The 23,350-nt window shown below is 61.9% G+C and overlaps 13 annotated features.

The window, feature by feature from the left end:
- Positions 146-791: an enhancer, noted in NCBI's record as "H3K27ac-H3K4me1 hESC enhancer chr2:87645832-87646477 (GRCh37/hg19 assembly coordinates)". NCBI's record gives its function as "activates a minimal SCP1, AML or CMV promoter by ChIP-STARR-seq in naive and primed H9 embryonic stem cells {active_cell/tissue: H9 hESC(naive and primed)}" and the evidence as "EXISTENCE:reporter gene assay evidence [ECO:0000049][PMID:30033119]".
- Positions 792-1,438: an enhancer, noted in NCBI's record as "H3K27ac-H3K4me1 hESC enhancer chr2:87645185-87645831 (GRCh37/hg19 assembly coordinates)". NCBI's record gives its function as "activates a minimal SCP1, AML or CMV promoter by ChIP-STARR-seq in naive and primed H9 embryonic stem cells {active_cell/tissue: H9 hESC(naive and primed)}" and the evidence as "EXISTENCE:reporter gene assay evidence [ECO:0000049][PMID:30033119]".
- Positions 1,439-2,085: an enhancer, noted in NCBI's record as "H3K27ac-H3K4me1 hESC enhancer chr2:87644538-87645184 (GRCh37/hg19 assembly coordinates)". NCBI's record gives its function as "activates a minimal SCP1, AML or CMV promoter by ChIP-STARR-seq in naive and primed H9 embryonic stem cells {active_cell/tissue: H9 hESC(naive and primed)}" and the evidence as "EXISTENCE:reporter gene assay evidence [ECO:0000049][PMID:30033119]".
- Positions 2,086-2,733: an enhancer, noted in NCBI's record as "H3K27ac-H3K4me1 hESC enhancer chr2:87643890-87644537 (GRCh37/hg19 assembly coordinates)". NCBI's record gives its function as "activates a minimal SCP1, AML or CMV promoter by ChIP-STARR-seq in naive and primed H9 embryonic stem cells {active_cell/tissue: H9 hESC(naive and primed)}" and the evidence as "EXISTENCE:reporter gene assay evidence [ECO:0000049][PMID:30033119]".
- Positions 2,862-3,503: an enhancer, noted in NCBI's record as "H3K27ac-H3K4me1 hESC enhancer chr2:87643120-87643761 (GRCh37/hg19 assembly coordinates)". NCBI's record gives its function as "activates a minimal SCP1, AML or CMV promoter by ChIP-STARR-seq in naive H9 embryonic stem cells {active_cell/tissue: H9 hESC(naive)}" and the evidence as "EXISTENCE:reporter gene assay evidence [ECO:0000049][PMID:30033119]".
- Positions 2,960-3,254: a silencer, noted in NCBI's record as "tiled region #1379; HepG2 Repressive non-DNase unmatched - State 9:DNaseU, and K562 Repressive non-DNase unmatched - State 23:Low". NCBI's record gives its function as "represses a minimal TATA promoter and a strong SV40 promoter by Sharpr-MPRA in HepG2 and K562 cells {active_cell/tissue: HepG2 | K562}" and the evidence as "EXISTENCE:reporter gene assay evidence [ECO:0000049][PMID:27701403]".
- Positions 3,504-4,146: an enhancer, noted in NCBI's record as "H3K27ac-H3K4me1 hESC enhancer chr2:87642477-87643119 (GRCh37/hg19 assembly coordinates)". NCBI's record gives its function as "activates a minimal SCP1, AML or CMV promoter by ChIP-STARR-seq in naive H9 embryonic stem cells {active_cell/tissue: H9 hESC(naive)}" and the evidence as "EXISTENCE:reporter gene assay evidence [ECO:0000049][PMID:30033119]".
- Positions 4,238-4,778: an enhancer, noted in NCBI's record as "OCT4-H3K27ac-H3K4me1 hESC enhancer chr2:87641845-87642385 (GRCh37/hg19 assembly coordinates)". NCBI's record gives its function as "activates a minimal SCP1, AML or CMV promoter by ChIP-STARR-seq in naive and primed H9 embryonic stem cells {active_cell/tissue: H9 hESC(naive and primed)}" and the evidence as "EXISTENCE:reporter gene assay evidence [ECO:0000049][PMID:30033119]".
- Positions 4,779-5,320: an enhancer, noted in NCBI's record as "OCT4-H3K27ac-H3K4me1 hESC enhancer chr2:87641303-87641844 (GRCh37/hg19 assembly coordinates)". NCBI's record gives its function as "activates a minimal SCP1, AML or CMV promoter by ChIP-STARR-seq in naive H9 embryonic stem cells {active_cell/tissue: H9 hESC(naive)}" and the evidence as "EXISTENCE:reporter gene assay evidence [ECO:0000049][PMID:30033119]".
- Positions 12,328-12,833: an enhancer, noted in NCBI's record as "H3K27ac-H3K4me1 hESC enhancer chr2:87633790-87634295 (GRCh37/hg19 assembly coordinates)". NCBI's record gives its function as "activates a minimal SCP1, AML or CMV promoter by ChIP-STARR-seq in naive H9 embryonic stem cells {active_cell/tissue: H9 hESC(naive)}" and the evidence as "EXISTENCE:reporter gene assay evidence [ECO:0000049][PMID:30033119]".
- Positions 12,834-13,340: an enhancer, noted in NCBI's record as "H3K27ac-H3K4me1 hESC enhancer chr2:87633283-87633789 (GRCh37/hg19 assembly coordinates)". NCBI's record gives its function as "activates a minimal SCP1, AML or CMV promoter by ChIP-STARR-seq in naive H9 embryonic stem cells {active_cell/tissue: H9 hESC(naive)}" and the evidence as "EXISTENCE:reporter gene assay evidence [ECO:0000049][PMID:30033119]".
- Positions 21,919-22,420: an enhancer, noted in NCBI's record as "H3K27ac-H3K4me1 hESC enhancer chr2:87624203-87624704 (GRCh37/hg19 assembly coordinates)". NCBI's record gives its function as "activates a minimal SCP1, AML or CMV promoter by ChIP-STARR-seq in naive and primed H9 embryonic stem cells {active_cell/tissue: H9 hESC(naive and primed)}" and the evidence as "EXISTENCE:reporter gene assay evidence [ECO:0000049][PMID:30033119]".
- Positions 22,421-22,924: an enhancer, noted in NCBI's record as "OCT4-H3K27ac-H3K4me1 hESC enhancer chr2:87623699-87624202 (GRCh37/hg19 assembly coordinates)". NCBI's record gives its function as "activates a minimal SCP1, AML or CMV promoter by ChIP-STARR-seq in naive and primed H9 embryonic stem cells {active_cell/tissue: H9 hESC(naive and primed)}" and the evidence as "EXISTENCE:reporter gene assay evidence [ECO:0000049][PMID:30033119]".

Here is a 23,350-nt window from a genome sequence, read left to right as displayed (position 1 = left end):
GGCTGGCTGGCTGGCTTGGCTGGCTGGATGGCTTGGCTGGCTTGGCTGGCAGGCTGGTTTGGCTGGCTTGGCTGGCTTGGCTGGCTGGGTGGCTTGGCTGACTTGGCTGGGTCGGTGGCTTGGCTGGCTTGGCTGGCTGGGTTGCTTGGATGGCTTAAGTGGCTGGCTGGCTGGCTTGGCTGGTTTGGCTGGCTGGCTGGCTTGGCTGGTTGGCTGGCTCTGCTGGCTGGCAGGCTTGGCTGGCTTGGCTGGTGGCTTGCTTGGCTGGCTTGGCTAGTTGGCTGGCTTGGCTGGCTGGCTGTCTGTCTTGGGTGGCTTGGCTGGCTGGGTGGCTTGGCTGGTTTGGCTGGCTGGCTGGCATGGCTGCCTTGGCGGGCTGGCTTGGCTGGCTTGGCTGGCTGGCTGACTTGGCTGGCTTGTGTGGCTGGCTGGGCTGGCTGCGGTGGCTGGGTTGGCTGGCTGGCTGGGCTGGCTGGGCTGGCTGGCTGGCTTGGCTGGCTGGGCTGGCTGGCTGGCTTGAATGGCTTGGCTGGCTTGGCTGGCCTGGCTGGCTGGCTGGCTTGGCTGGCTTGGCAGGCTGGCTGGTTTAGCTGTCTTGGGTGGCTGGGTGGCTGGCTGGCTTGGCTGGCTGGGCTGGCTCCTGGCTTGGCTGGCTTGGCTGGCTTGCTTGGCTGGCTTGGCTGGCTGGGTGGCTTGGCTGGCTTGGCTGGCTGGCTGGCTGGGTGTCTTGGGTGGCTTGGCTGGCTGGGTGGCTTGGCTGGTTTGGCTGGCTGGCTTGGCTGGCTGGCTTGCTGGCTTGCTTGGCTGGCTTGGCTGGCTGGCTGGCTTGGCTGTCTGGGCTGGCTGGCTCTCTTGGATGGCTTGGCTGACTGGGTGGCTGGCTTGGCTGTCTGTGCTGGCCGGCTGGCTTGGATGGCTTGGCTGACTGGGTGGCTGGCTGGCCTGGCTGGCTGGGTGGCTGACTGGCTTCGCAGGCTTGTCTGGCTTGGCTGGCTGGGTGGCAGGCTGGCCTGGCTGGTTGGGTGGCAGGCTGGCTTGGCTGGCTGGGTGGCTGGATGGCCTGGCTGGTTGGGTGGCAGGCTGGCTTGGCTGGCTGGGTGGCTGGATGGCCTGGCTGGATGGCTGGCTTGGCTCTCTTGGCTGGCTGGCTGGCTTGGCTGGCTGGCTTGGCTGGCTTGGCTGGCTTGGCTGCCTGGCTGGCTTGGCTGGCTTGGCTGGCTTGGCTGCCTGGGTGGCTTGGCTGGCTTGGCTGGCTTGGCTGGCTTGGCTGGCTGGCTTGGTTGGCTTGGATGGCTGGCTGGCTTGGCTGGCATGGCTGGCTGGCTGGCTTGGTTGGCTGGCTGGGCTGGCTTGGCTGGCTGGGCTGGCTGGCTGGCTGGCTGGCTTGGATGGCTTGGCTGGCTGGCTGGGCTGGCTTAGCTGGCTGGGCTGGCTGGGCTGGCTTGGCTGGCTTGGCTGGCTGGCTGACTTTGCTGGCTTGCCTGGCTTGGCTGACTGGCTTGGCTGGCTCAGTTGACTTGGCTGGCTTGGCTGGCTTGGCTGGCTGGCTGGCTTGGCTGGCTTGGCTGGCTGACTGGCTTGGCTGGCTTGGCTGGCTGGCTGGCATGGCTGCCTTGGTGGGCTGGCTTGGCTGACTTGGCTGGCTGGCTGACTTGGCTGGCTTGTGTGGCTGGCTGGGCTGGCTGCGGTGGCTGGGTTGGCTGGCTGGCGGGGCTGGCTGGGCTGGCTGGCTGGCTTGGCTGGCTGGGCTGGCTGGCTGGGTGGCTGGCTGGGTGGCTGGCTGGCCTGGCTGGCTGGCTGGCTTGGCTCGCTTGGCTGGCTGGCTGGCTTGGCTGGCTGTCTGGCTTGACTGGCTTGGCTGGCTGCCTGGCTTTGCTGGCTGGCTGGCTTGGCTGGCTGCCTGGCTTGGCTGTCTGGGCTGGCTGGGTGGCTTGGCTGGCTTGGCTGGGTCGGTGGCTTGGCTGGCTTGGCTGCCTGGCCGGCTTGGCTGCCTTGGCTGTCTGGCCGGCTTGGTTGGCTGGCAGGCTGGCCAGCTTAGCTGGCTGGCTGGTTGGCTGGCTTGGCTAGCTGACTGGCTTTGCTGGTTGGCTGGCTTGGCTGGCTTGGCTGGCTGGCTTGGATGGCCGGGTGGCTTGTCTGGCTTGGCTAGCCGGCTGGCTTAGCTGGCTGGATGGCTTGGCTGGCATGCCTGGCTTGGCTGGCTGGCTGGTTTTGCTGGCTTGGCTGCCTGGCTGGCTTGGCTGGCATGCCTGGCTTGGCTGGCTGGCGGGCCTGGCTGGCTTGGCTGGCTTGGCTGCCTGGCTGGCTTGGCTGGCATGCCTGTCTTGGCTGGCTGGCGGGCTTGACTGGCTTGGCTGGCTTGGCTGCCTGGCTGGCTGGCTGGTGGGCCTGGCTGGCTAGGTGGCTTGGCTGGCTTGGCTGGCTGGGTGGCTTGGCTGGCTTGGCTGGCTGGGAGGCTTGGCTGGCTTGGCTGGCTGGCTGGCTTGGCTGGCTTGTCTGGCTTGGCTGGCTGGGTGGCAGGCTGGCCTGGCCGGCTGGGTGGCTGGCTGGCTTGGCTGGCTGGGCTGGCTGGGATGGCTGGCTGGCTGGCTGGCTTGGCTGGCTTGGCTGGCTTGGCAGGCTTGGCTGGTTTAGCTGGCTTGGTTAGCTGGCTGGCTTGGCTGGCTTGACTGGCTGGCTGGCTTGGCTGGCTTGGCTGGCTGGCTGAGTTGGCTGGCTTGGCTGGCTTGGGTGGCTTGGCTGGCTGGCTGGCTTCATTGGCTTGGATGGCTGGCTGGCTTGGATGGCTGCCTGGCTTGGCTAGCTTGGCTGGCTGACTGGCTTGGCTGCCTTGGCTGGCTTGGCTAGCTGGCTTGGCTGGCTGGCTTGGCTGGCTTGGGTGGCTTGGCTGGCTGGCTGGCTTCATTGGCTTGGATGGCTGGCTGGCTTGGATGGCTGCCTGGCTTGGCTAGCTTGGCTGGCTGACTGGCTTGGCTGCCTTGGCTGGCTTGGCTAGCTGGCTTGGCTGGCTGGCTTGGCTGGCTTGGCTTGCTGGCTGTCTTGGCTGGCTTGGCAGGCTGACTTGGCTGGCTTTGCTGGCGGGCTGGCTTTGCAGGCTTGGCTGGATGGTTGGCTTGGCAGGCTTGGCTGGCTTGGCTGGCTTGGCTGGCTGGGTGGCTTGGCTGGCTTGGCTGGCTGGCTGGCTGGGTGTCTTGGGTGGCTTGGCTGGCTGGGTGGCTTGGCTGGTTTGGCTGGCTGGCTTGGCTGGCTGGCTTGCTGGCTTGCTTGGCTGGCTTGGCTGGCTGGCTGGCTTGGCTGTCTGGGCTGGCTGGCTGGCTTGGCTGGCTTGGCTGGCTGACTGGCTTGACTGGCTTGGCTGGCTTGGCTGGCTTGGCTGGCTGACTGGCTTGGCTGGCTTGGCTGGCTGGCTGAGTTGGCTGGCTTGGGTGTCTTGGCTGGCTGGCTGGCTTCATTGGCTTGGATGGCTGGCTGGCTTGGATGGCTGCCTGGCTTGGCTAGCTTGGCTGGCTGACTGGCTTGGCTGCCTTGGCTGGCTTGGCTGGCTTGGCTTGCTGGTTGTCTTGGCTGGCTTGGCAGGCTGACTTGGCTGGCTTTGCTGGCTGGCTGGCTTTGCAGGCTTGGCTGGCTGGCTGGCTTGGCAGGCTTGGCTGGCTTGGCTGGCTTGGCTGGCTCCTGGCTGCGCTGGCTTGGCTGGCTTGCTTGGCTGGCTTGGCTGGCTGGGTGGCTTGGCTGGCTTGGCTGGCTGGCTGGCTGGCTGGGTGTCTTGGGTGGCTTGGCTGGCTGGGTGGCTTGGCTGGTTTGGCTGGCTGGCTTGGCTGGCTGGCTTGCTGGCTTGCTTGGCTGGCTTGGCTGGCTGGCTGGCTTGGCTGTCTGGGCTGGCTGGCTCTCTTGGATGGCTTGGCTGACTGGGTGGCTGGCTTGGCTGTCTGTGCTGGCCGGCTGGCTTGGATGGCTTGGCTGACTGGGTGGCTGGCTGGCCTGGCTGGCTGGGTGGCTGACTGGCTTCGCAGGCTTGTCTGGCTTGGCTGGCTGGGTGGCAGGCTGGCCTGGCTGGTTGGGTGGCTGGCTGGCTTGGCTGGCTGGGTGGCTGGCTGGCCTGGCTGGCTGGCTGGCTTGGCTCGCTTGGCTGGCTGGCTGGCTTGGCTGGCTGTCTGGCTTGACTGGCTTGGCTGGCTGCCTGGCTTTGCTGGCTGGCTGGCTTGGCTGGCTGCCTGGCTTGGCTGTCTGGGCTGGCTGGGTGGCTTGGGTGGCTTGGCTGGCTTGGCTGGGTCGGTGGCTTGGCTGGCTTGGCTGCCTGGCCGGCTTGGCTGCCTTGGCTGTCTGGCCGGCTTGGTTGGCTGGCAGGCTGGCCAGCTTAGCTGGCTGGCTGGTTGGCTGGCTTGGCTAGCTGACTGGCTTTGCTGGTTGGCTGGCTTGGCCGGCTTGGCTGGCTGGCTTGGATGGCCGGGTGGCTTGTCTGGCTTGGCTAGCCGGCTGGCTTAGCTGGCTGGATGGCTTGGCTGGCATGCCTGGCTTGGCTGGCTGGCTGGTTTTGCTGGCTTGGCTGCCTGGCTGGCTGGGCTGGCATGCCTGGCTTTGCTTGCTGCCTGGCTTGGCTGACTTGGCTGCCTGGCTGGCTTGGCTGGCATGCCTGTCTTGGCTGGCTGGCGGGCCTGGCTGGCTTGGCTGGCTTGGCTGCCTGGCTGGCTTGGCTGGCATGCCTGTCTTGGCTGGCTGGCGGGCTTGACTGGCTTGGCTGGCTTGGCTGCCTGGCTGGCTGGCTGGTGGGCCTGGCTGGCTAGGTGGCTTGGCTGGCTTGGCTGGCTGGGTGGCTTGGCTGGCTTGGCTGGCTGGGAGGCTTGGCTGGCTTGGCTGGCTGGCTGGCTGGCTGGCTGGCTGGCTTGGCTGGCTTGTCTGGCTTGGCTGGCTGGGTGGCAGGCTGGCCTGGCCGGCTGGGTGGCTGGCTGGCTTGGCTGGCTGGGTGGCTGGGTGGCTGGCTGGCTGGCTGGCTTGGCTGGCTTGCCTGGCTTGCTTGGCTGGCTTGGCTGGCTGGGTGGCTTGGCTGGCTTGGCTGGCTGGCTGGCTGGGTGTCTTGGGTGGCTTGGCTGGCTGGCTGGCTTGGCTGGTTTGGCTGGCTGGCTTGGCTGGCTGGCTTGCTGGCTTGCTTGGCTGGCTTGGCTGGCTGGCTGGCTTGGCTGGCTTGGCTGGCTGGCTGGCTTGGCCGGCTTGGCTGGCAGGCTGGCTTGGCTGGCATGCCTGGCTTTGCTTGCTGGCTGGCTTGGCTCCCTGGCTGGCTTGGCTGGCATGCCTTTCTTGGCTGGCTGGAGGTCTTGGCTGGCTTGGCTGGCTTGGCTGCCTGGCTGGCTTAGCTGGCTTGACTGGGTGGCTTGGCCATCTTGGCTGGCTGAGTGGCTTGGCCGGCTTGGCTGGCTGGCTGGCTTGGCTGGCTGAGTGGCTTGGCCGGCTTGGCTGGCTGGGTGGCTTGGCCGGCTTGGCTGGCTGGGTGGCTTGACTGGCTTGGCTGGCTGGGTTGTTTGCCTGGCTTGGCTGGCTGGGTGGCTTGGCAGGCTTGGCTGGCTGGCTGGCTGGCTTCGCTGGCTGGGTGTCTTGGCTAGCTTGGCTGGCTGGGTGTCTTGGCTGGCTTGGGTTGCTGGGTCTCTTGGCAGGCTTGGCTGGCTGGGTGGCTTGGCTTGCTTGGCTGGCTGGGTGTCTTCGCTGGCTTGGCTGGCTGGCAGGCTTGGCTGGCTTGACTGGCTGGCAGGCTTGGCTGGCTTTTCTGGCTGACTGGCTTGGCTGGCTTGGCTGGCTTGGCTGGCTGGGTTGGCTGGCTTGGCTGGCTGGCTGTCTGGCTTCCATGGCTTGCTTGGCTGGCTGGCTTGGCCGGCTTGGCTGGCTGGCTGTCTTGGCTGGCTTGGCTGGCTGGGTTGGCTGGCTTGGCTGGCTCGCTGGCTTGCCTGGCTTGACTGGCTTGGCTGTCTTGGCTGGCTGGCTGGCTTGGCTGGCTTGGCTGGCTGGCTTGTCTGTTTTGGCTGCCTGGGCTGGCTGTCTGGCAGGGCTGTCTGGCTGGTTCGCTGGCTTGGCTGGCTTGGCTGGGTGGCCGGCTTGGCTGGCTTGGCTGACTGGCTTGGCTGGGTTGGCCAGCTTCGCTGGCTGGCTTGGGTCTCTTGGCTGCCTGGGCTGGCTGTCTGGCTGGGCTGTCTGGCTGGTTGGCTGGCTTGGCTGGCTTGGCTGGGTGGCCGGCTTGGCTGGCTTGGCTGACTGGCTTGGCGGGTTTGGCCAGCTTTGCTGGCTGGCTTGGGTCTCTTGGCTGGCTTTGCTGGGTGGCTGGCTTGGCTGGGTGGCTGGCTGGCTTGGCTGGCTGGCTGGTTTGGCTGGCTGACTGGCTGGGCTGGCTGGGCTCGCTGTCTGGCTTGGCCGGCTCGGCTGGCTGGCTGGCTGGCTGGCTGGGCTGGCTTTGCTGGCTGGCTGGCTTGGCTGGCTTGGCTGGCCGGGTGACTTGGCTGGTTTGAGTGGCTTAGTGGATTGGCTAGCTTGGCTGGCCGGCTGGCTTGGCTGGCTGGCTGGCTTGGCTGGCTTGGCTGGCTGGCTGGCTTGGCTGTCTGGGCTGGCTAGCTGGCTTGGCAGGCTTGGCTGGCCGGGTGACTTGGCTAGTTTGAGTGGGTGAGTGGATTGGCTAGCTTGGCTGGCTGGCTGGCTTGGCTGGCTGGATGGCTTGGCTGGCTTGGCTGGCAGGCTGCTTTGGCTCTCACTGCCTCACGGACGTTCGGGTAAAGCGCTTGGCTGGCTGGCTGGCTTGGCTGGTTTGGCTGGCTGGCTTGGCTGGCTGGCTTGCTGGCTTGCTTGGCTGGCTTGGCTGGCTGGCTGGCTTGGCTGGCTTGGCTGGCTGGCTGGCTTGGCCGGCTTGGCTGGCTGGCTGGCTTGGCTGGCATGCCTGGCTTTGCTTGCTGGCTGGCTTGGCTCCCTGGCTGGCTTGGCTGGCATGCCTTTCTTGGCTGGCTGGAGGTCTTGGCTGGCTTGGCTGGCTTGGCTGCCTGGCTGGCTTAGCTGGCTTGACTGGGTGGCTTGGCCATCTTGGCTGGCTGAGTGGCTTGGCCGGCTTGGCTGGCTGGCTGGCTTGGCTGGCTGAGTGGCTTGGCTGGCTTGGCTGGCTTGGCTGGCTGGCTGGCTTGGCTGACTTGGCTGGCTTGGCTGGCTGGCTGACTTGGCTGGCTTGTGTGGCTGGCTGGGCTGGCTGCGGTGGCTGGGTTGGCTGGCTGGCCTGGCTGGCTGGCTGGTTTAGCTGGCCTGGTTGGCTGGCTGGCTTGGCTGGCTTGACTGGCTGGCTGGCTTGGCTGGCTTGGCTAGCTGGCTGAGTTGGCTGGCTTGTGTGTCTTGGCTGGCTGGCTGGCTTCATTGGCTTGGATGGCTGGCTGGCTTGGATGGCTGCCTGGCTTGGCTAGCTTGGCTGGCTGACTGGCTTGGCTGCCTTGGCTGGCTTGGCTGGCTTGGCTTGCTGGTTGTCTTGGCTGGCTTGGCAGGCTGACTTGGCTGGCTTTGCTGGCTGGCTGGCTTTGCAGGCTTGGCTGGCTGGCTGGCTTGGCAGGCTTGGCTGGCTTGGCTGGCTTGGCTGGCTCCAGCTGCGCTGGCTTGGCTGGCATGCTTGGCTGGCTTGTCAAGCTTGGATGGCTAGCTTGCTTGGCCTGGCTTAGCTGGCTCGAGCTGGCTGGGCAGGCTTGGCTAGCTGCCTAGCTGCCTCTCGCTGGCTGGGTGTCGTGGCTAGCTTGGCTGGCTGGGTGTCTTGGCTGGCTTGGGTTGCTGGGTCTCTTGGCAGGCTTGGCTGGCTGGGTGGCTTGGCTTGCTTGGCTGGCTCGGTGTCTTCGCTGGCTTGGCTGGCTGGCTGGCTTGGCTGGCTTGGCTGCCTGGCTGGCTTGGCTGGCATGCCTGGCTTTGCTTGCTGGCTGGTTTGGCTGCCTTGCTGGCTTGGCTGGCATGCCTTTCTTGGCTGGCTGGAGGTCTTGGCTGGCTTGGCTGCCTGGCTGGCTTGGCTGGCTTGACTGCGTGGCTTGGCCATCTTGGTTGGCTGAGTGGCTTGGCCGGCTTGGCTGGCTGGCTGGCTTGGCTGGCTGAGTGGCTTGGCTGGCTTGGCTGGCTGGGTGGCTTGGCTGGCTTAGCTGGCTTGACTGGGTGGCTTGGCCATCTTGGCTGGCTGAGTGGCTTGGCCGGCTTGGCTGGCTGGCTGGCTTGGCTGGCTGAGTGGCTTGCCAGCTTGGCTGGCTGGGTGGCTTGGCTGGCTTGGCTGGCTTGGCTGGCTGGGTGGCTTGACTGGCTTGGCTGGCTGGGTTGTTTGCCTGGCTTGGCTGGCTGGGTGGCTTGGCAGGCTTGGCTGGCTGGCTGGCTGGCTGGCTTCGCTGGCTGGGTGTCGTGGCTAGCTTGGCTGGCTGGGTGTCTTGGCTGGCTTGGGTTGCTGGGTCTCTTGGCAGGCTTGGCTGGCTGGGTGGCTTGGCTTGCTTGGCTGGCTCGGTGTCTTCGCTGGCTTGGCTGGCTGGCTGGCTTGGCTGGCTTGGCTGCCTGGCTGGCTTGGCTGGCATGCCTGGCTTTGCTTGCTGGCTGGTTTGGCTGCCTTGCTGGCTTGGCTGGCATGCCTTTCTTGGCTGGCTGGAGGTCTTGGCTGGCTTGGCTGCCTGGCTGGCTTGGCTGGCTTGACTGCGTGGCTTGGCCATCTTGGCTGGCTGAGTGGCTTGGCCGGCTTGGCTGGCTGGCTGGCTTGGCTGGCTGAGTGGCTTGGCCAGCTTGGCTGGCTGGGTGGCTTGGCTGGCTTAGTTGGCTTGACTGGGTGGCTTGGCCATCTTGGCTGGCTGAGTGGCTTGGCCGGCTTGGCTGGCTGGCTGGCTTGGCTGGCTGAGTGACTTGGCCAGCTTGGCTGGCTGGGTGGCTTGGCCGGCTTGGCTGGCTGGGTGGCTTGACTGGCTTGGCTGGCTGGGTTGTTTGCCTGGCTTGGCTGGCTGGGTGGCTTGGCTGGCTTGGCTGGCTGGCTGGCTGGCTGGCTTCGCTGGCTGGGTGTCTTGGCTAGCTTGGCTGGCTGGGTGTCTTGGCTGGCTTGGGTTGCTGGGTCTCTTGGCAGGCTTGGCTGGCTGGGTGGCTTGGCCATCTTGGCTGGCTGAGTGGCTTGGCCGGCTTGGCTGGCTGGCTGGCTTGGCTGGCTTGACTGGCTGGCAGGCTTGGCTGGCTTTTCTGGCTGACTGGCTTGGCTGGCTTGGCTGGCTTGGCTGGCTGGGTTGGCTGGCTTGGCTGGTTTGGCTGGCTGGCTGGCTTGACTGGCTTGGCTGGCTGGCTGTCTGGCTTCCATGGCTTGCTTGGCTGGCTGGCTTGGCCGGCTTGGCTGGCTGGCTGTCTTGGCTGGCTTGGCTGGCTGGGTTGGCTGGCTTGGCTGGCTCGCTGGCTTGCCTGGCTTGACTGGCTTGGCTGTCTTGGCTGGCTGGCTGGCTTGGCTGGCTTGGCTGGCTGGCTTGTCTGGTTTGGCTGCCTGGGCTGGCTGTCTGGCAGGGCTGTCTGGCTGGTTCGCTGGCTTGGCTGGCTTGGCTGGGTGGCCGGCTTGGCTGGCTTGGCTGACTGGCTTGGCTGGGTTGGCCAGCTTCGCTGGCTGGCTTGGGTCTCTTGGCTGCCTGGGCTGGCTGTCTGGCTGGGCTGTCTGGCTGGTTTGCTGGCTTGTCTGGCTTGGATGGGTGGCCGGCTTGGCTGGCTTGGCTGACTGGCTTGGCTGGTTTGGCCAGCTTTGCTGGCTGGCTTGGGGCTCTTGGTTGGCTTTGCTGGGTGGCTGGCTTGGCTGGGTGGCTGGCTGGCTTGGCTGGCTGGCTGGTTTGGCTGGCTGACTGGCTGGGCTGGCTGGCTGGCTTGGCTGGCTTGGCTGGCTGGCTGGCTTGGCTGGCATGCCTGGCTTTGCTTGCTGGCTGGCTTAGCTGGCTGGATGGCTTGGCTGGCATGCCTGGCTTGGCTGGCTGGCTGGCTTGGCTGGCTTGGCTGCCTGGCTGGCTTGGCTGGCATGCCTGGCTTTGCTTGCTGGCTGGCTTGGCTCCCTGGCTGGCTTGGCTGGCATGCCTTTCTTGGCTGGCTGGAGGTCTTGGCTGGCTTGGCTGGCTTGGCTGCCTGGCTGGCTTAGCTGGCTTGACTGGGTGGCTTGGCCATCTTGGCTGGCTGAGTGGCTTGGCCGGCTTGGCTGGCTGGCTGGCTTGGCTGGCTGAGTGGCTTGGCCGGCTTGGCTGGCTGGGTGGCTTGGCTGGCTTGGCTGGCTGGGTGGCTTGACTGGCTTGGCTGGCTGGGTTGTTTGCCTGGCTTGGCTGGCTGGGTGGCTTGGCAGGCTTGGCTGGCTGGCTGGCTGGCTTCGCTGGCTGGGTGTCTTGGCTAGCTTGGCTGGCTGGGTGTCTTGGCTGGCTTGGGTTGCTGGGTCTCTTGGCAGGCTTGGCTGGCTGGGTGGCTTGGCTTGCTTGGCTGGCTGGGTGTCTTCGCTGGCTTGGCTGGCTGGCTGGCTTGGCTGGCTTGACTGGCTGGCAGGCTTGGCTGGCTTTTCTGGCTGACTGGCTTGGCTGGCTTGGCTGGCTTGGCTGGCTGGGTTGGCTAGGGCTGTCTGGCTGGTTGGCTGGCTTGTCTGGCTTGGCTGGGTGGCCGGCTTGGCTGGCTTGGCTGACTGGCTTGGCTGGTTTGGCCAGCTTTGCTGGCTGGCTTGGGTCTCTTGGTTGGCTTTGCTGGGTGGCTGGCTTGGCTGGGTGGCTGGCTGGCTTGGCTGGCTGGCTGGTTTGGCTGGCTGACTGGCTGGGCTGGCTGGCTGGCTTGGCTGGCTTGGCTGGCTGGCTGGCTTGGCTGGCATGCCTGGCTTTGCTTGCTGGCTGGGTTAGCTGGCTGGATGGCTTGGCTGGCATGCCTGGCTTGGCTGGCTGGCTGGCTTGGCTGGCTTGGCTGCCTGGCTGGCTTGGCTGGCATGCCTGGCTTTGCTTGCTGGCTGGCTTGGCTCCCTGGCTGGCTTGGCTGGCATGCCTGGCTTTGCTTGCTGGCTGGCTTGGCTCCCTGGCTGGCTTGGCTGGCATGCCTTTCTTGGCTGGCTGGAGGTCTTGGCTGGCTTGGCTGGCTTGGCTGCCTGGCTGGCTTAGCTGGCTTGACTGGGTGGCTTGGCCATCTTGGCTGGCTGAGTGGCTTGGCCGGCTTGGCTGGCTGGCTGGCTTGGCTGGCTGAGTGGCTTGGCCGGCTTGGCTGGCTGGGTGGCTTGGCTGGCTTGGCTGGCTGGGTGGCTTGACTGGCTTGGCTGGCTGGGTTGTTTGCCTGGCTTGGCTGGCTGGGTGGCTTGGCAGGCTTGGCTGGCTGGCTGGCTGGCTTCGCTGGCTGGGTGTCTTGGCTAGCTTGGCTGGCTGGGTGTCTTGGCTGGCTTGGGTTGCTGGGTCTCTTGGCAGGCTTGGCTGGCTGGGTGGCTTGGCTTGCTTGGCTGGCTGGGTGTCTTCGCTGGCTTGGCTGGCTGGCTGGCTTGGCTGGCTTGACTGGCTGGCAGGCTTGGCTGGCTTTTCTGGCTGACTGGCTTGGCTGGCTTGGCTGGCTTGGCTGGCTGGGTTGGCTAGCTTGGCTGGCTGGGTTGGCTAGCTTGGCTGGCTGGCTGTCTGGCTTCCATGGCTTGCTTGGCTGGCCTGTCTTGGCTGGCTGGCTGGCTTGGCTGGCTTGGCTGGCTGGCTTGTCTGGTTTGGCTGCCTGGGCTGGCTGTCTGGCAGGGCTGTCTGGCTGGTTCGCTGGCTTGGCTGGCTTGGCTGGGTGGCCGGCTTGGCTGGTTTGGCTGACTGGCTTGGCTGGGTTGGCCAGCTTCGCTGGCTGGCTTGGGTCTCTTGGCTGCCTGGGCTGGCTGTCTGGCTGGGCTGTCTGGCTGGTTGGCTGGCTTGTCTGGCTTGGCTGGGTGGCCAGCTTGGCTGGCTTGGCTGACTGGCTTGGCTGGTTTGGCCAGCTTTGCTGGCTGGCTTGGGTCTCTTGGCTGGCTTTGCTGGGTGGCTGGCTTGGCTGGGTGGCTGGCTGGCTTGGCTGGCTGGCTGGTTTGGCTGGCTGACTGGCTGGGCTGGCTGGGCTCGCTGTCTGGCTTGGCGGCTCGGCTGGCTGGCTGGCTGGCTGGCTGGGCTGGCTTTGCTGGCTGGCTGGCTTGGCTGGCTTGGCTGGCCGGGTGACTTGGCTGGTTTGAGTGGCTTAGTGGATTGGCTAGCTTGGCTGGCCGGCTGGCTTGGCTGGCTGGCTGGCTTGGCTGGCTTGGCTGGCTGGCTGGCTTGGCTGGCTTGGCTGGCTTGGCTAGATTGGCTGGCTGGCTGGCTTGGCTGGCTTGGCTGGCTGGCTGGCTTGGCTGTCTGGGCTGGCTAGCTGGCTTGGCAGGCTTGGCTGGCCGGGTGACTTGGCTAGTTTGAGTGGGTGAGTGGATTGGCTAGCTTGGCTGGCCGGCTGGCTTGGCTGGCTGGATGGCTTGGCTGGCTTGGCTGGCAGGCTGGTTTGGCTGGCTTGGCTGGCTTGGCTGGCTGGGTGGCTTGGCTGGCTTGGCTGGGTCGGTGGCTTGGCTGGCTTGGCTGGCTGGGTTGCTTGGATGGCTTAAGTGGCTGGCTGGCTGGCTTGGCTGGTTGGCTGGCTCTGCTGGCTGGCAGGCTTGGCTGGCTTGGCTGGTGGCTTGCTTGGCTGGCTTGGCTAGTTGGCTGGCTTGGCTGGCTGGCTGGCTGGCTGTCTTGGGTGGCTTGGCTGGCTGGGTGGCTTGGCTGGTTTGGCTGGCTGGCTTGGCTGGCTGGCTTGCTGGCTTGCTTGGCTGGCTTGGCTGTCTGGGCTGGCTTGTTGGCTTGCATGGCTTGGCTGGCTGGGTGGCTGGATGTCCTGGCTGGCTGCGTGGCTGGCTGGCTTGGCTGGCTTGTCTGGCTTGGCTGGCTGGGTGGCAGGCTGGCCTGGCTTGCTGGGTGGCTGCCTGGCTTGGCTGGCTGGGTGGCTGGCTGGCTTGGCTGGCTTGGCTGGCTTGGCTGGCTGGCTGGCATGGCTGCCTTGGCGGGCTGGCTTGGCTGGCTTGGCTGGCTGGCTGACTTGGCTGGCTTGTGTGGCTGGCTGGGCTGGCTGCGGTGCCTTGTTTGGCTGGCTGGCCTGGCTGGCTGGCTGGCTTGGCTGGCTTGGCAGGCTGGCTGGTTTAGCTGGCCTGGTTGGCTGGCTGGCTTGGCTGGCTTGACTGGCTGGCTGGCTTGGCTTGCTTGGCTAGCTGGCTGAGTTGGCTGGCTTGTGTGTCTTGGCTGGCTGGCTGGCTTCATTGGCTTGGATGGCTGGCTGGCTTGGATGGCTGCCTGGCTTGGCTAGCTTGGCTGGCTGACTGGCTTGGCTGCCTTGGCTGGCTTGGCTGGCTTGGCTTGCTGGTTGTCTTGGCTGGCTTGGCAGGCTGACTTGGCTGGCTTTGCTGGCTGGCTGGCTTTGCAGGCTTGGCTGGCTGGCTGGCTTGGCAGGCTTGGCAGGCTTGGCTGGCTTGGCTGGCTTGGCTGGCTCCTGGCTTGGCTGGCTTGGCTGGCTTGGCTGGCTTGCTTGGCTGGCTTGGCTGGCTGGGTGGCTTGGCTGGCTTGGCTGGCTGGCTGGCTGGGTGTCTTGGGTGGCTTGGCTGGCTGGGTGGCTTGGCTGGTTTGGCTGGCTGACTTGGCTGGCTAGCTGGCTTGGCTGACTTGGCTGGCTAGCTGGCTTGGCTGGCTTGGCTTGGCTGCCTGGCCGGCTGGCTGGCTGGCTGGCTTGGCTGGCTTGGCAGGCTGGCTGGTTGGGTGGCTTAGCTGGCTGGCTGGCTGGCTGGGTCGCTTGACTGGCTTGGCTGGTTGGCTTGGCTGGCTTGGTTTGCCAGGCTGGAGTGCAATGGTGCAAACTTGGCTAGCTGCAGCCTCCACCTCCTGTGTTCAAGTGATCCTCCTGCGTTGGCCTCCCGAGTAGCTGGGATTAGAGATGAGTGCCACCACGCCCATCTATTTTTTTTGTATATTTAGTGGAGACGTTGTTTCACCATGTTGGCCAGGCTGGTGTTTTTTTTCATTTTGTTTTTTTTTCTGAGTGGGAGTCTCGCTCTGTTGCCCAGGCTGGAGTGCAGTGGTGCAATCTTTGTTCGCTGCAACCTCCACCTCCCGGGTTCAAGCGATCCTCCTGCCTGGGCCTCCCGAGTAGCTGGGATTACATTCGTGTGCTACCATGCTCAGCTAATTTCTTTGTGTATTTAGTACTGACGGGGTTTCACCATGTTGGCCAAGGTGCTCTTTTTTTTTCTTTTTTCTGAGATGGAGTCTCGCTCCATTGCCCTGGTTGGAGTTCTTCTTTTTTTTCAGATGGAGTGTCACTCTGTTGTCCAGGGTTCAGTGCAGTGGTGCAATCTTGGCTGGCTGCAGCCTCTACCTCCCGAGTTCAAGCGATCCTCCTGCCTGGGCCTCCCGAGTAGCTGGGATTACAATCGTGTGCCACCACGCTCAGCTAATTTCTTTGTATATTTAGTACTGATGGGGTTTCACCATGTTGGACAGGCTGGTCTTTTTTTTTTTTTTTTTTTGAGATGGAGTCTTGCTATATTGCCCAGGCTGGAGTGCTTTTTTTTCAGATGGAATCTCACTTTCTTGCCCAGGCTGGAGTGCAGTGGTGCAATCTTGGTTCGCTGCAACCTCCACCTCCCGGGTTCAAGCGATCCTCCTGCCTGGGCCTCCCGAGTAGCTGGGATTACAGGCGTGTGCCACCACGCCCAGCTAATTTTTTTGCATATTTAGTAGAGACGTGGTTTCACCATGTCGGACAGGCTGCTCTTTTTTCCTTTTTTTTTTTTTTTTTGAGATGGAGTCTTGCTATATTGCCCAGGCTGGAGTGTTTCTTTTTTTTTCAGATGGAGTCTCACTTTGTTGCACAGGCCGGAGTGCAGTGGTGCAGTCTTGGCTCGCTGCAGCCTCCACCTCCCAGGTTCAAGCGATCCTCCTGCCTGGGCCTCTCGAGTAGCTGGGATTACAGGCATGTGCCACCACGCCCAGCTAATTTTTTTGTGTATTTAGTAGAGACGGGGTTTCACCATGTCGGCCAACCTGGTCTTTTTTTTTTTTTTTTTTTTTTCTGAGATGGAGTCTCGCTCTGTTGACCAGACTGGAGTGCTTCTTTTTTTTCAGATGGACTCTCACTCTGTTGCCCAGGCCAGAGTGCAGTGGTGCAATCTTGGCTCGCTGCAGCCTCCACCTCCCAGGTTCAAGTGATCCTCCTGCCTGGGCCTCCCCAGTAGCTGGGATTAGAAGCCTGTGCCACCACGTCCAGCTAATTTTTTTTGTATATTTAGTAGAGACGGGATTTCACCATGTTGGCCAACCTGGTCTTTTTTTTTTTTTTTTTTTTTTTTTTTTTTCTGAGATGGAGTCTCTCTCTGTTGCCCAGGCTGGAGTGCTTCTTTTTTTTCAGATGGACTCTTACTCTGTTACCCAGAGCAGAGTGCAGTGGTGCAATCTTGGCTCGCTGTAGCCTCCAACTCCCAGGTTCAAGCGATCCTCCTGTCTGGGACTCCCGAGTAGCTGGGATTACATTCGTGTGCCATGACGCCCAGCTAATTTCTTTGTATATTTAGTAGAGACGGGGTTTCACCATGTTGGGCAGGCTGTTTTTTGTTGTTGTTGTTGTTGTTGTTGTTGTTGTTTTGAGATGGAGTCTCGCCCTGTTGCCCAGGCTGGAGTGCAGTGGTGCAATCTTGGCTCGCTGCAGCCTCCACCTCCCGGGTTCAAGGGATCCTCCTACCTGGGCCTCCCGAGTAGCTGGGATTATATTCGTGTGCCACCATGCTCAGCTAATTTCTTTGTATATTTAGTATTGATGGGTTTTCACCATGTTGGCCAGGCTGCTCTTTTTTTTTTTTTTTTTTTTTTTTCTGAGATTGAATCTCACCCTGTTGCTCAGGCAGGCGTTCAGAGGTGCAATCTTGGTTTGCTGCAACCTCCACCTCCCGGGTTCAAGCATTCCTCCAGCCTGGGCCTACCGAGTAGCTGGGATTACAGGCGTGTGCCATGACGCCCAGCTAATTTTTTTGTATATTTAGTAGAGACGGGGTTTCACCATGTTGGCAAGGCTGGTCTTTCTTTTTTTTTTTTTTTCTGAGATGGAGTCTCGCTCTATTGCCCAGGCTGGAGTGCTTTTTTTTCATATAGAGTCTCACTCTGTTGCCCAGGATGGAGCGCAGTGGTGCAATCTTGGCTCCGCTGCAGCCTCTACCTCCCGGGTTCAAGCGATCCTCCTTCCTGGGCCTCCCGAGTAGCTGGGATTACAGGCATGTGCCACCACGCCCAGCTAATATTTTTGTATATTTAGTAGAGATGGGGTTTCACCATGTCGGCCAGCTGGTCTTTTTTTTTTTCGAGTTGGAGTCTCGCTATATTGCCCGGGCTGGAATGCTTCTTTTTTTTCAGATGGAGTCTCACATTTTGCCCAGGGTGGAGTGCAGTGGTGCAATCCTGGCTGGCTGCAGCCTCCACCTCCCAGGTTCAAGCAATCCTCCTGCCTGGGATTACAGGTGTGTGTCACCACGCCCAGCTAATTATTTTGTATATTTAGTAGAGATGGGGTTTCACCATGTTGGCCAACCTGTTCTTTTTTTTTTTTTTTTTTTTTTCTGAGATGGAGTGTCGCTCTGTTGCCCAGGCTGAAGTGCTGTGGTACAATCTTGGCTCGCTGCAGCCTCCACCTCCCGGGATCAAGTGATCCTCTTGTCTGGGCCTCCCAAGTAGCGGGGATTACAGGTGTGTAGCAATACGCCCAGCAATTTTTTTGTATATTTAGTAGAGATGGGGTTTCACCATGTTGCCCAGGCTGGTCTTTTTTTTTTTTTTTGAGATGGAGTCTGGCCCTGTTGCCCTGGCTCGAGTGCAGTGGTGCAATCTTGGCTCGCTGCAGCCTCCACCTCCCGGGTTTAAGCGATCCTCCTTCCTGGGCATCCCGAGTATGTGGGATTACATTCGTGTGCCACCATGCACAGCTAATTTCTTTGTATATTTAGTATTGACGGGGTTTCACCATGTTGGCCAGGCTGCTCTTTTTGTTTTTTTTTTTTTTCTGAGATGGAGTCTCACCCTGTTGCCCAGGCTGGAGTGCAGTGGTGCAATCTTGGCTCACTGCAGCCTCTACCTCCCGGGTTCAAGCGATCCTCCTGCCTGTGCCTACCAAGTAGCTGGTATTACAGGCGTGTGCCGTGACACCCAGCTAATTTTTTTGTATATTTAGTAGACACGGGGTTCACCATATTGGCCAGGCTGGTGTTTTTTTTTTTTTTTTTTTTTTTTTTGAGGTTGAGTCTCGCTATATTGCCGTGGCTGGAGTTCTTTTTTTCAGATGGAGTCTCACTCGGGTGGAGTGCAGTGGTGCAATTTTGGCTCGCTGCAGCCTCAAACTCCCAGGTTCAAGCAATCCTCCTTCCTGGGCCTCCCGAGTAGCTGGGATTACAGGCGTGTGCCACCACGGCCAGCTAATACTTTTGTATTTTTAGTAGAGATGAGGTTTCACCATGTCGGCCAAGCTGGTCTTTTTTTAATTTTTTTCTCTCTTTTCTGAGATGGAGTCTCACCCTGTTGCCCAGGCTGGAGTTCAGTGGTGCTATCTTGGCTCGCTGCAGCCTCCACCTCCCAGGTTCAAGCGATCCTACTGCCTGGGGCTCCCGAGTAGCTGGGATTACAGCCGTGTGCCACCATGCCCAGCTAATTTTTTTATATATTTACTAGAGACGGGGTGTCACCATGTTGGCCAGGCTGGTCTTTTTTTTTTTTTCTGAGATGGAGTCTCGCCCTGTTGCCCAGGCTGGAGTGCAGTGGTGTAATCTTGGTTTGCTGCAGCCTCCACCTCCCGGGTTCAAGCGATCCTCCTGCCTGGGCCTTCCGAGTAGCTGGGATTACAGGCGTGTGCCACCATGCCTAACTAATTTTTTTGTATATTTAGTAGAGACATGGTTTTACCATGTTGGCCAACCTGTTCTTGTTTTTTTTTTTTTTTTTTTTTTCTGAGACGGAGTCTCGCTCTGTTGCCCAGGCGGAAGTGCGGTGGGACAATCTTGGCTCGCTGCAGCATATACCTTCTGGGTTCAAGAGATCTTCTTGCCTGGGCCTCCCGGGTAGCTGGGATTACAGGCGTGTGCCACCACGCCCAGCTAATTTTTTTTGTATATTTAGTAGAGACGGGGTTTCACCATGTTAGCCAGGCTGATATTTTTTTTTTTTCCTGAGATGGAGTCTCGCTCTGTTGCCCAGGCTGGAGTGCAGTGGTGCAATCTTGGTTCGCTGCAACCTCCACCTCCCGGGTTCAAGCGATCCTCCTGCCTAGGCCTCCCGAGTAGCTGGGATTACAGGCGTGTGCCACCACGCACAGCTAATTTTTTTGTGTATTTAGTAGAGACGGGGTTTCACCATGTTGGCCAGGCTGGTCTTTTTTTTTTTTTTTTTTTTTTTTTGAGATGGAGTCTCACTCTATTGCCCTGGCTGGAGTTCTTCTTTTTTTTCATATAGAGTCTAATTCTGTTATCCAGGGTGGAGTGCAGTGGTGCAATCTTGGCTCGCTGCAGCCTCCACCTCCCAGGTTCAAGCGATCCTCCTTCCTGGGCCTCCCGAGCAGCTGGGATCACAGGCATGTGCCACCACATCCAGGTAATTTTTTTTATATTTAGTAGAGACGGGGTTTCACCATGTTGGCCAGGCTGGTCTTTTTTTTTTTTTTTTCCTGAGATGGAGTCTCGCCCTGTTGCCCAGGCTGGAGTGCAGTGGTACAATCTTGGTTCACGGCAACCACCCCCTCCCGGGTTCAAGTGATCATCCTGCCTGGGCCTCCCGAGTACCTGGTATTACAGGTGTGTGCCATCAAACCCAGCTATTTTTTTTTTTTTTGAGATGTAGTATCACTCTGACACCACCGTGGAGTACAGTGGCGCCATCTCGGCTCACTGCAACCTCCGCTTCCTAGGTTCAAGCAATTCTCCTGCCTCAGCCTCCGGAGTAGCAGGGATTACAGGCATGTGCCACCACATCCAGCTAATTTTTCTATTTTTAGTAGAGACGGGGTTTCACCATGTTGGTCAGGCTGGTCTCGATCTCATGACCTCGTGATCCACCCACCTCGGCCTCCCAAGGTGCTGGGATTACAGGCATGAGCCACCACGCCTGGCCCTATTTTTTTTGTATATTTAGAAGAGACGGGGTTTCACCATGTTGGCCAGGCTGGTGTTTTTTTTTTTTTTTTTTTTTTTTTTGAGATGGAGTCTCGCTCTATTGGCCAGGCTGGAATGCTTCTGTTTTTTCAGATGGAGTCTCACTCTGTTGCCCAGGCTGGAGTGCAGTGGTGCAATCTTGGCTCGCTGCAGCCTCCACCTCCCTGATTCAAGCGATCCTCCTTCCTGGGCCTCCCGAGTAGCTGGGATTACAGGTGTGTGCCACCACCCCCAGCTAATTTTTCTGTATATTTTGTAGAGATGGGGTTTCACCCTGTTGGCCAGGCTGGTCTATTTTATTTTATTTTTTCTGAGATGGAGTCTCGCCCTGTTGCCCAGGCTGGAGTGCAGTGGTGCAATCTTGGCTCGCTGTAGCCTCCACCCCCAGGGTTCAAGCTATCCTCCTGCCTGGGCCTCCCGAGTAGCTGGGATTACATTCATGTGCCACCACGCCCAGCTAATTTCTTTTCATATTTAGTAGAGATGGGGTTTCACCGTGTTGGCCAGGCTGGCCTTTTTTTTTTTCTTTTTCTGAGATTGAGTCTCACCCTGTTGCCCAGGCTGGAATGAGGTGGTGCAATCTTGGTTCGCTTCAACCTCCACCTCCCTGGTTAAAGCGATCCTCCTGCCTGGGCCTCCCGAGTAGCTGGGATTACTGGCGTGTGCCACCACGCCTAGATAATTTTTTATACATTTAGTAGAGACGGGGTTTCATCATGTTGGCCAGGCTGTTTTTTTTTTATTTTTTTTGAGATGGAGTCTCGTCCTGGCATGGCTGGCTGGCTGGCTTGTATGGCTTGGCTGGCTGGCTGGCATGGCTGGCTTGGCTGGTTCGCTGGCTGACAGGCTTGGCTGGCTGGGTGGCTTGGCTGGCATGCCTGGCTGGGTGGTTTGGCTGGCTTAGTTGGCTGGGTGGCTTGGCTGGCTGGCTGGCTGGCTGGCTGGCTTGGCTGGTGGGGTGGCTTGGCCGGACACCTCGCTTGGCTGGCTGGATGGCTTGGCTGGCACGGATTGCTTGGCTGGCTGGCTGGCTTGGCTTGCGTGGCTGGCTGGATGGCTTGGCTGGCTTGGCTGTCTTGGCTGGCTGGATGGCTTGGCTGGCTGTGTGGCTTGGCTGTCTTGGCTGGCTGGGTGGCTTGGCTGGCTGTGTGGCTTGGCTGGCTTGGCTGGCTGGGTGGCTTGGCTGGCTGGCTAACTGGCTTGGCTGGCGTGGATGGCTGGCTGGCTTGGTGGGTGGCCGGCTTGGCAGGCTGGCTGGCTGGCCTGACTGGCTTGATGGCTAGATGGCTTGGCTGGCTGGGTGGCTTGCCTGGCTTGGCTGGCTTGGCTGTATGGCTGGCTTGACTGGCTTGGCTGGCTGGCTGTCTTGGCTGGCTTGGATGGCTGGCTGGCTTGGCTGGTTGGCTGGTTTGGCCGGCTTGGCTGGCTTGGCTGGCTTGGGTGGCTGGCTGCCTGGCTGTCTTGGCTGGCTTGGCTGGCTGGGTGGCTTGGCTGGCTGGGTGGCTTGGCTGGTTTGGCTGGCTGGCTGGCTGGGTGGCTTGGCTAGCTGGCTGGCTTGGCTGGTTGGCTGGCTTGGCTGGCTTGGCCGGCCGGGTGGCTTGGCTGGCTTGGCTAGCCAGCGGGCTTAGCTAGCTGGATGGCTTGGCTGGCATGCCTGGCTTGGCTGGCTGGCTGGCTTGGCTGGCTTGGCTGCCTGGCTGGCTTGGCTGGCATGCCTGTCTTGGCTGGCTGGCGGGCTTGACTGGCTTGGCTGGCTTGGCTGCCTGGCTGGCTGGCTGGCGGGCCTGGCTGGCTGGCTGGCGGGCCTGGCTGGCTAGGTGGCTTGGCTGGCTTGGCTGGCTTGGCTGGCTTGGGTGGCTGGCTGCCTGGCTGGCTGATTGGCTTGGCTGGCTTGGCTGGCTGGGTGGCTTGGCTGGCTGGGTGGCTTGGCTGGTTTGGCTGGCTGGCTGGCTGGGTGGCTTGGCTAGCTGGCTGGCTTGGCTGGTTGGCTGGCTTGGCTGGCTTGGCTGGCTGGCTTGGCTGGCCGGGTGGCTTGGCTGGCTTGGCTAGCCGGCTGGCTTAGCTGGCTGGATGGCTTGGCTGGCATGCCTGGCTTGGCTGGCTGGCTGGCTTGGCTGGCTTGGCTGCCTGGCTGGCTTGGCTGGCATGCCTGTCTTGGCTGGCTGGCGGGCTTCACTGGCTTGGCTGGCTTGGCTGCCTGGCTGGCTGGCTGGCGGGCCTGGCTGGCTAGGTGGCTTGGCTGGCTTGGCTGGCTGGGTGGCTGGCTGCCTGGCTGGCTGATTGGCTTGGCTGGCTTGGCTGGCTTGGCTGGCTGGGTGGCTGGCTGCCTGGCTGGCTGATTGGCTTGGCTGGCTTGGCTGGCTGGGTGGCTTGGCTGGCTGGGTGGCTTGGCTGGTTTGGCTGGCTGGCTGGCTGGGTGGCTTGGCTAGCTGGCTGGCTTGGCTGGTTGGCTGGCTTGGCTGGCATGCCTGGCTTTGCTTGCTGGCTGGCTTGGCTGGCTTCGCTGCCTGGCTGGCTTGGCTGCCCGGCTGGCTTGGCTAGCATGCCTGTCTTGGCTGGTTGGCGGGCTTGGCTGGCTTGGCTGGCTTGGCTGTCTGGGCTGGCTGACTGGCTTGGCTGGCTTGGATGGCCGGGTGGCTTGGCTGGCTTGGCTGGCTGGGTGGCTTGGCTGGCTGGGTGGCTTGGCTGGTTTGGCTAGCTGGCTGACTGGGTGGCTTGGCTAGCTGGCTGGCTTGGCTGGTTGGCTGGCTTGGCAGGCTTGGCTGGCTGGCTTGGCTGGCCGGGTGGCTTGGCTGGCTTGGCTAGCCGGCTGGCTTAGCTGGCTGGATGGCTTGGCTGGCATGCCTGGCTTGGCTGGCTGGCTGGCTTGGCTGGCTTGGCTGGCTTGGCTGCCTGGCTGGCTTGGCTGACATGCCTGGCTTTCCTTGCTGGCTGGCTTGGCTGGCTTCGCTGCCTGGCTGGCTTGGCTAGCATGCCTGTCTTGGCTGGTTGGCGGGCTTGGCTGGCTTGGCTGGCTTGGCTGTCTGGGCTGACTGGCTTGGCTGGCTTGGATGGCCGGGTGGCTTGGCTGGCTTGGCTGGCTGGGTGGCTTGGCTGGCTGGGTGGCTTGGCTGGTTTGGCTAGCTGGCTGACTGGGTGGCTTGGCTAGCTGGCTGGCTTGGCTGGTTGGCTGGCTTGGCAGGCTTGGCTGGCTTGGCTGGCTGGCTTGGCTGGCCGGGTGGCTTGGCTGGCTTGGCTAGCCGGCTGGCTTAGCTGGCTGGATGGCTTGGCTGGCATGCCTGGCTTGGCTGGCTGGCTGGCTTGGCTGGCTTTGCTGGCTTGGCTGCCTGGCTGGCTTGGCTGACATGCCTGGCTTTGCTTGCTGGCTGGCTTGGCTGGCTTCGCTGCCTGGCTGGCTTGGCTAGCATGCCTGTCTTGGCTGGTTGGCGGGCTTGGCTGGCTTGGCTGGCTTGGCTGTCTGGGCTGGCTGACTGGCTTGGCTGGCTTGGATGGCCGGGTGACTTGGCTGGCTTGAGTGGCTGAGTGGATTGGCTAGCTTGGCTGGCCGGCTGGCTTGGCAGGCTGGCTGGCTTGGCTGGCTTGGCTCGCTGGCTGGCTGGCTGGCGGGCCTGGCTGGCTAGGTGGCTTGGCTGGCTTGGCTGGCTGGGTGGCTTGGCTGGTTTGGCTGGCTGGGAGGCTTGGCTGGCTTGGCTGGCTGGCTGGCTGACTGGCTTGGCTGGCTTGGCTGGCTGGCTGGCTGACTGGCTTGGCTGGCTTGGCTGGCTTGGCTGGGTGGCCGGCTTGGCTGACTTGGCTGACTGGCTTGGCTGGGTTGGCCAGCTTCGCTGGCTGGCTTGGGTCTCTTGGCTGCCTGGGCTGGCTGTCTGGCTGGGCTGTCTGGCTGGTTGGCTGGCTTGTCTGGCTTGGCTGGGTGGCCGGCTTGGCTGGCTTGGCTGACTGGCTTGGCTGGTTTGGCCAGCTTTGCTGGCTGGCTTGGGTCTCTTGGCTGGCTTTGCTGGGTGGCTGGCTTGGCTGGGTGGCTGGCTGGCTTGGCTGGCTGGCTGGTTTGGCTGGCTGACTGGCTGGGCTGGCTGGGCTCGCTGTCTGGCTTGGCCGGCTCGGCTGGCTGGCTGGCTGGCTGGGCTGGCTTGGCTGGCTGGCTGGCTTGGCTGGCTTGGCTGGCTAACTGGCTGGCTTGGCTGGCTTGGCTTG

The sequence above is a fragment of the Homo sapiens genome, chromosome 2 (genome assembly GCF_000001405.40).
Source record: "Homo sapiens chromosome 2, GRCh38.p14 Primary Assembly".
Lineage (NCBI taxonomy): Eukaryota > Metazoa > Chordata > Mammalia > Primates > Hominidae > Homo > Homo sapiens.
The sequence above is the reverse complement of the archived record's forward strand: the minus strand, read 5'-3'. Positions and strand labels throughout refer to the sequence as shown.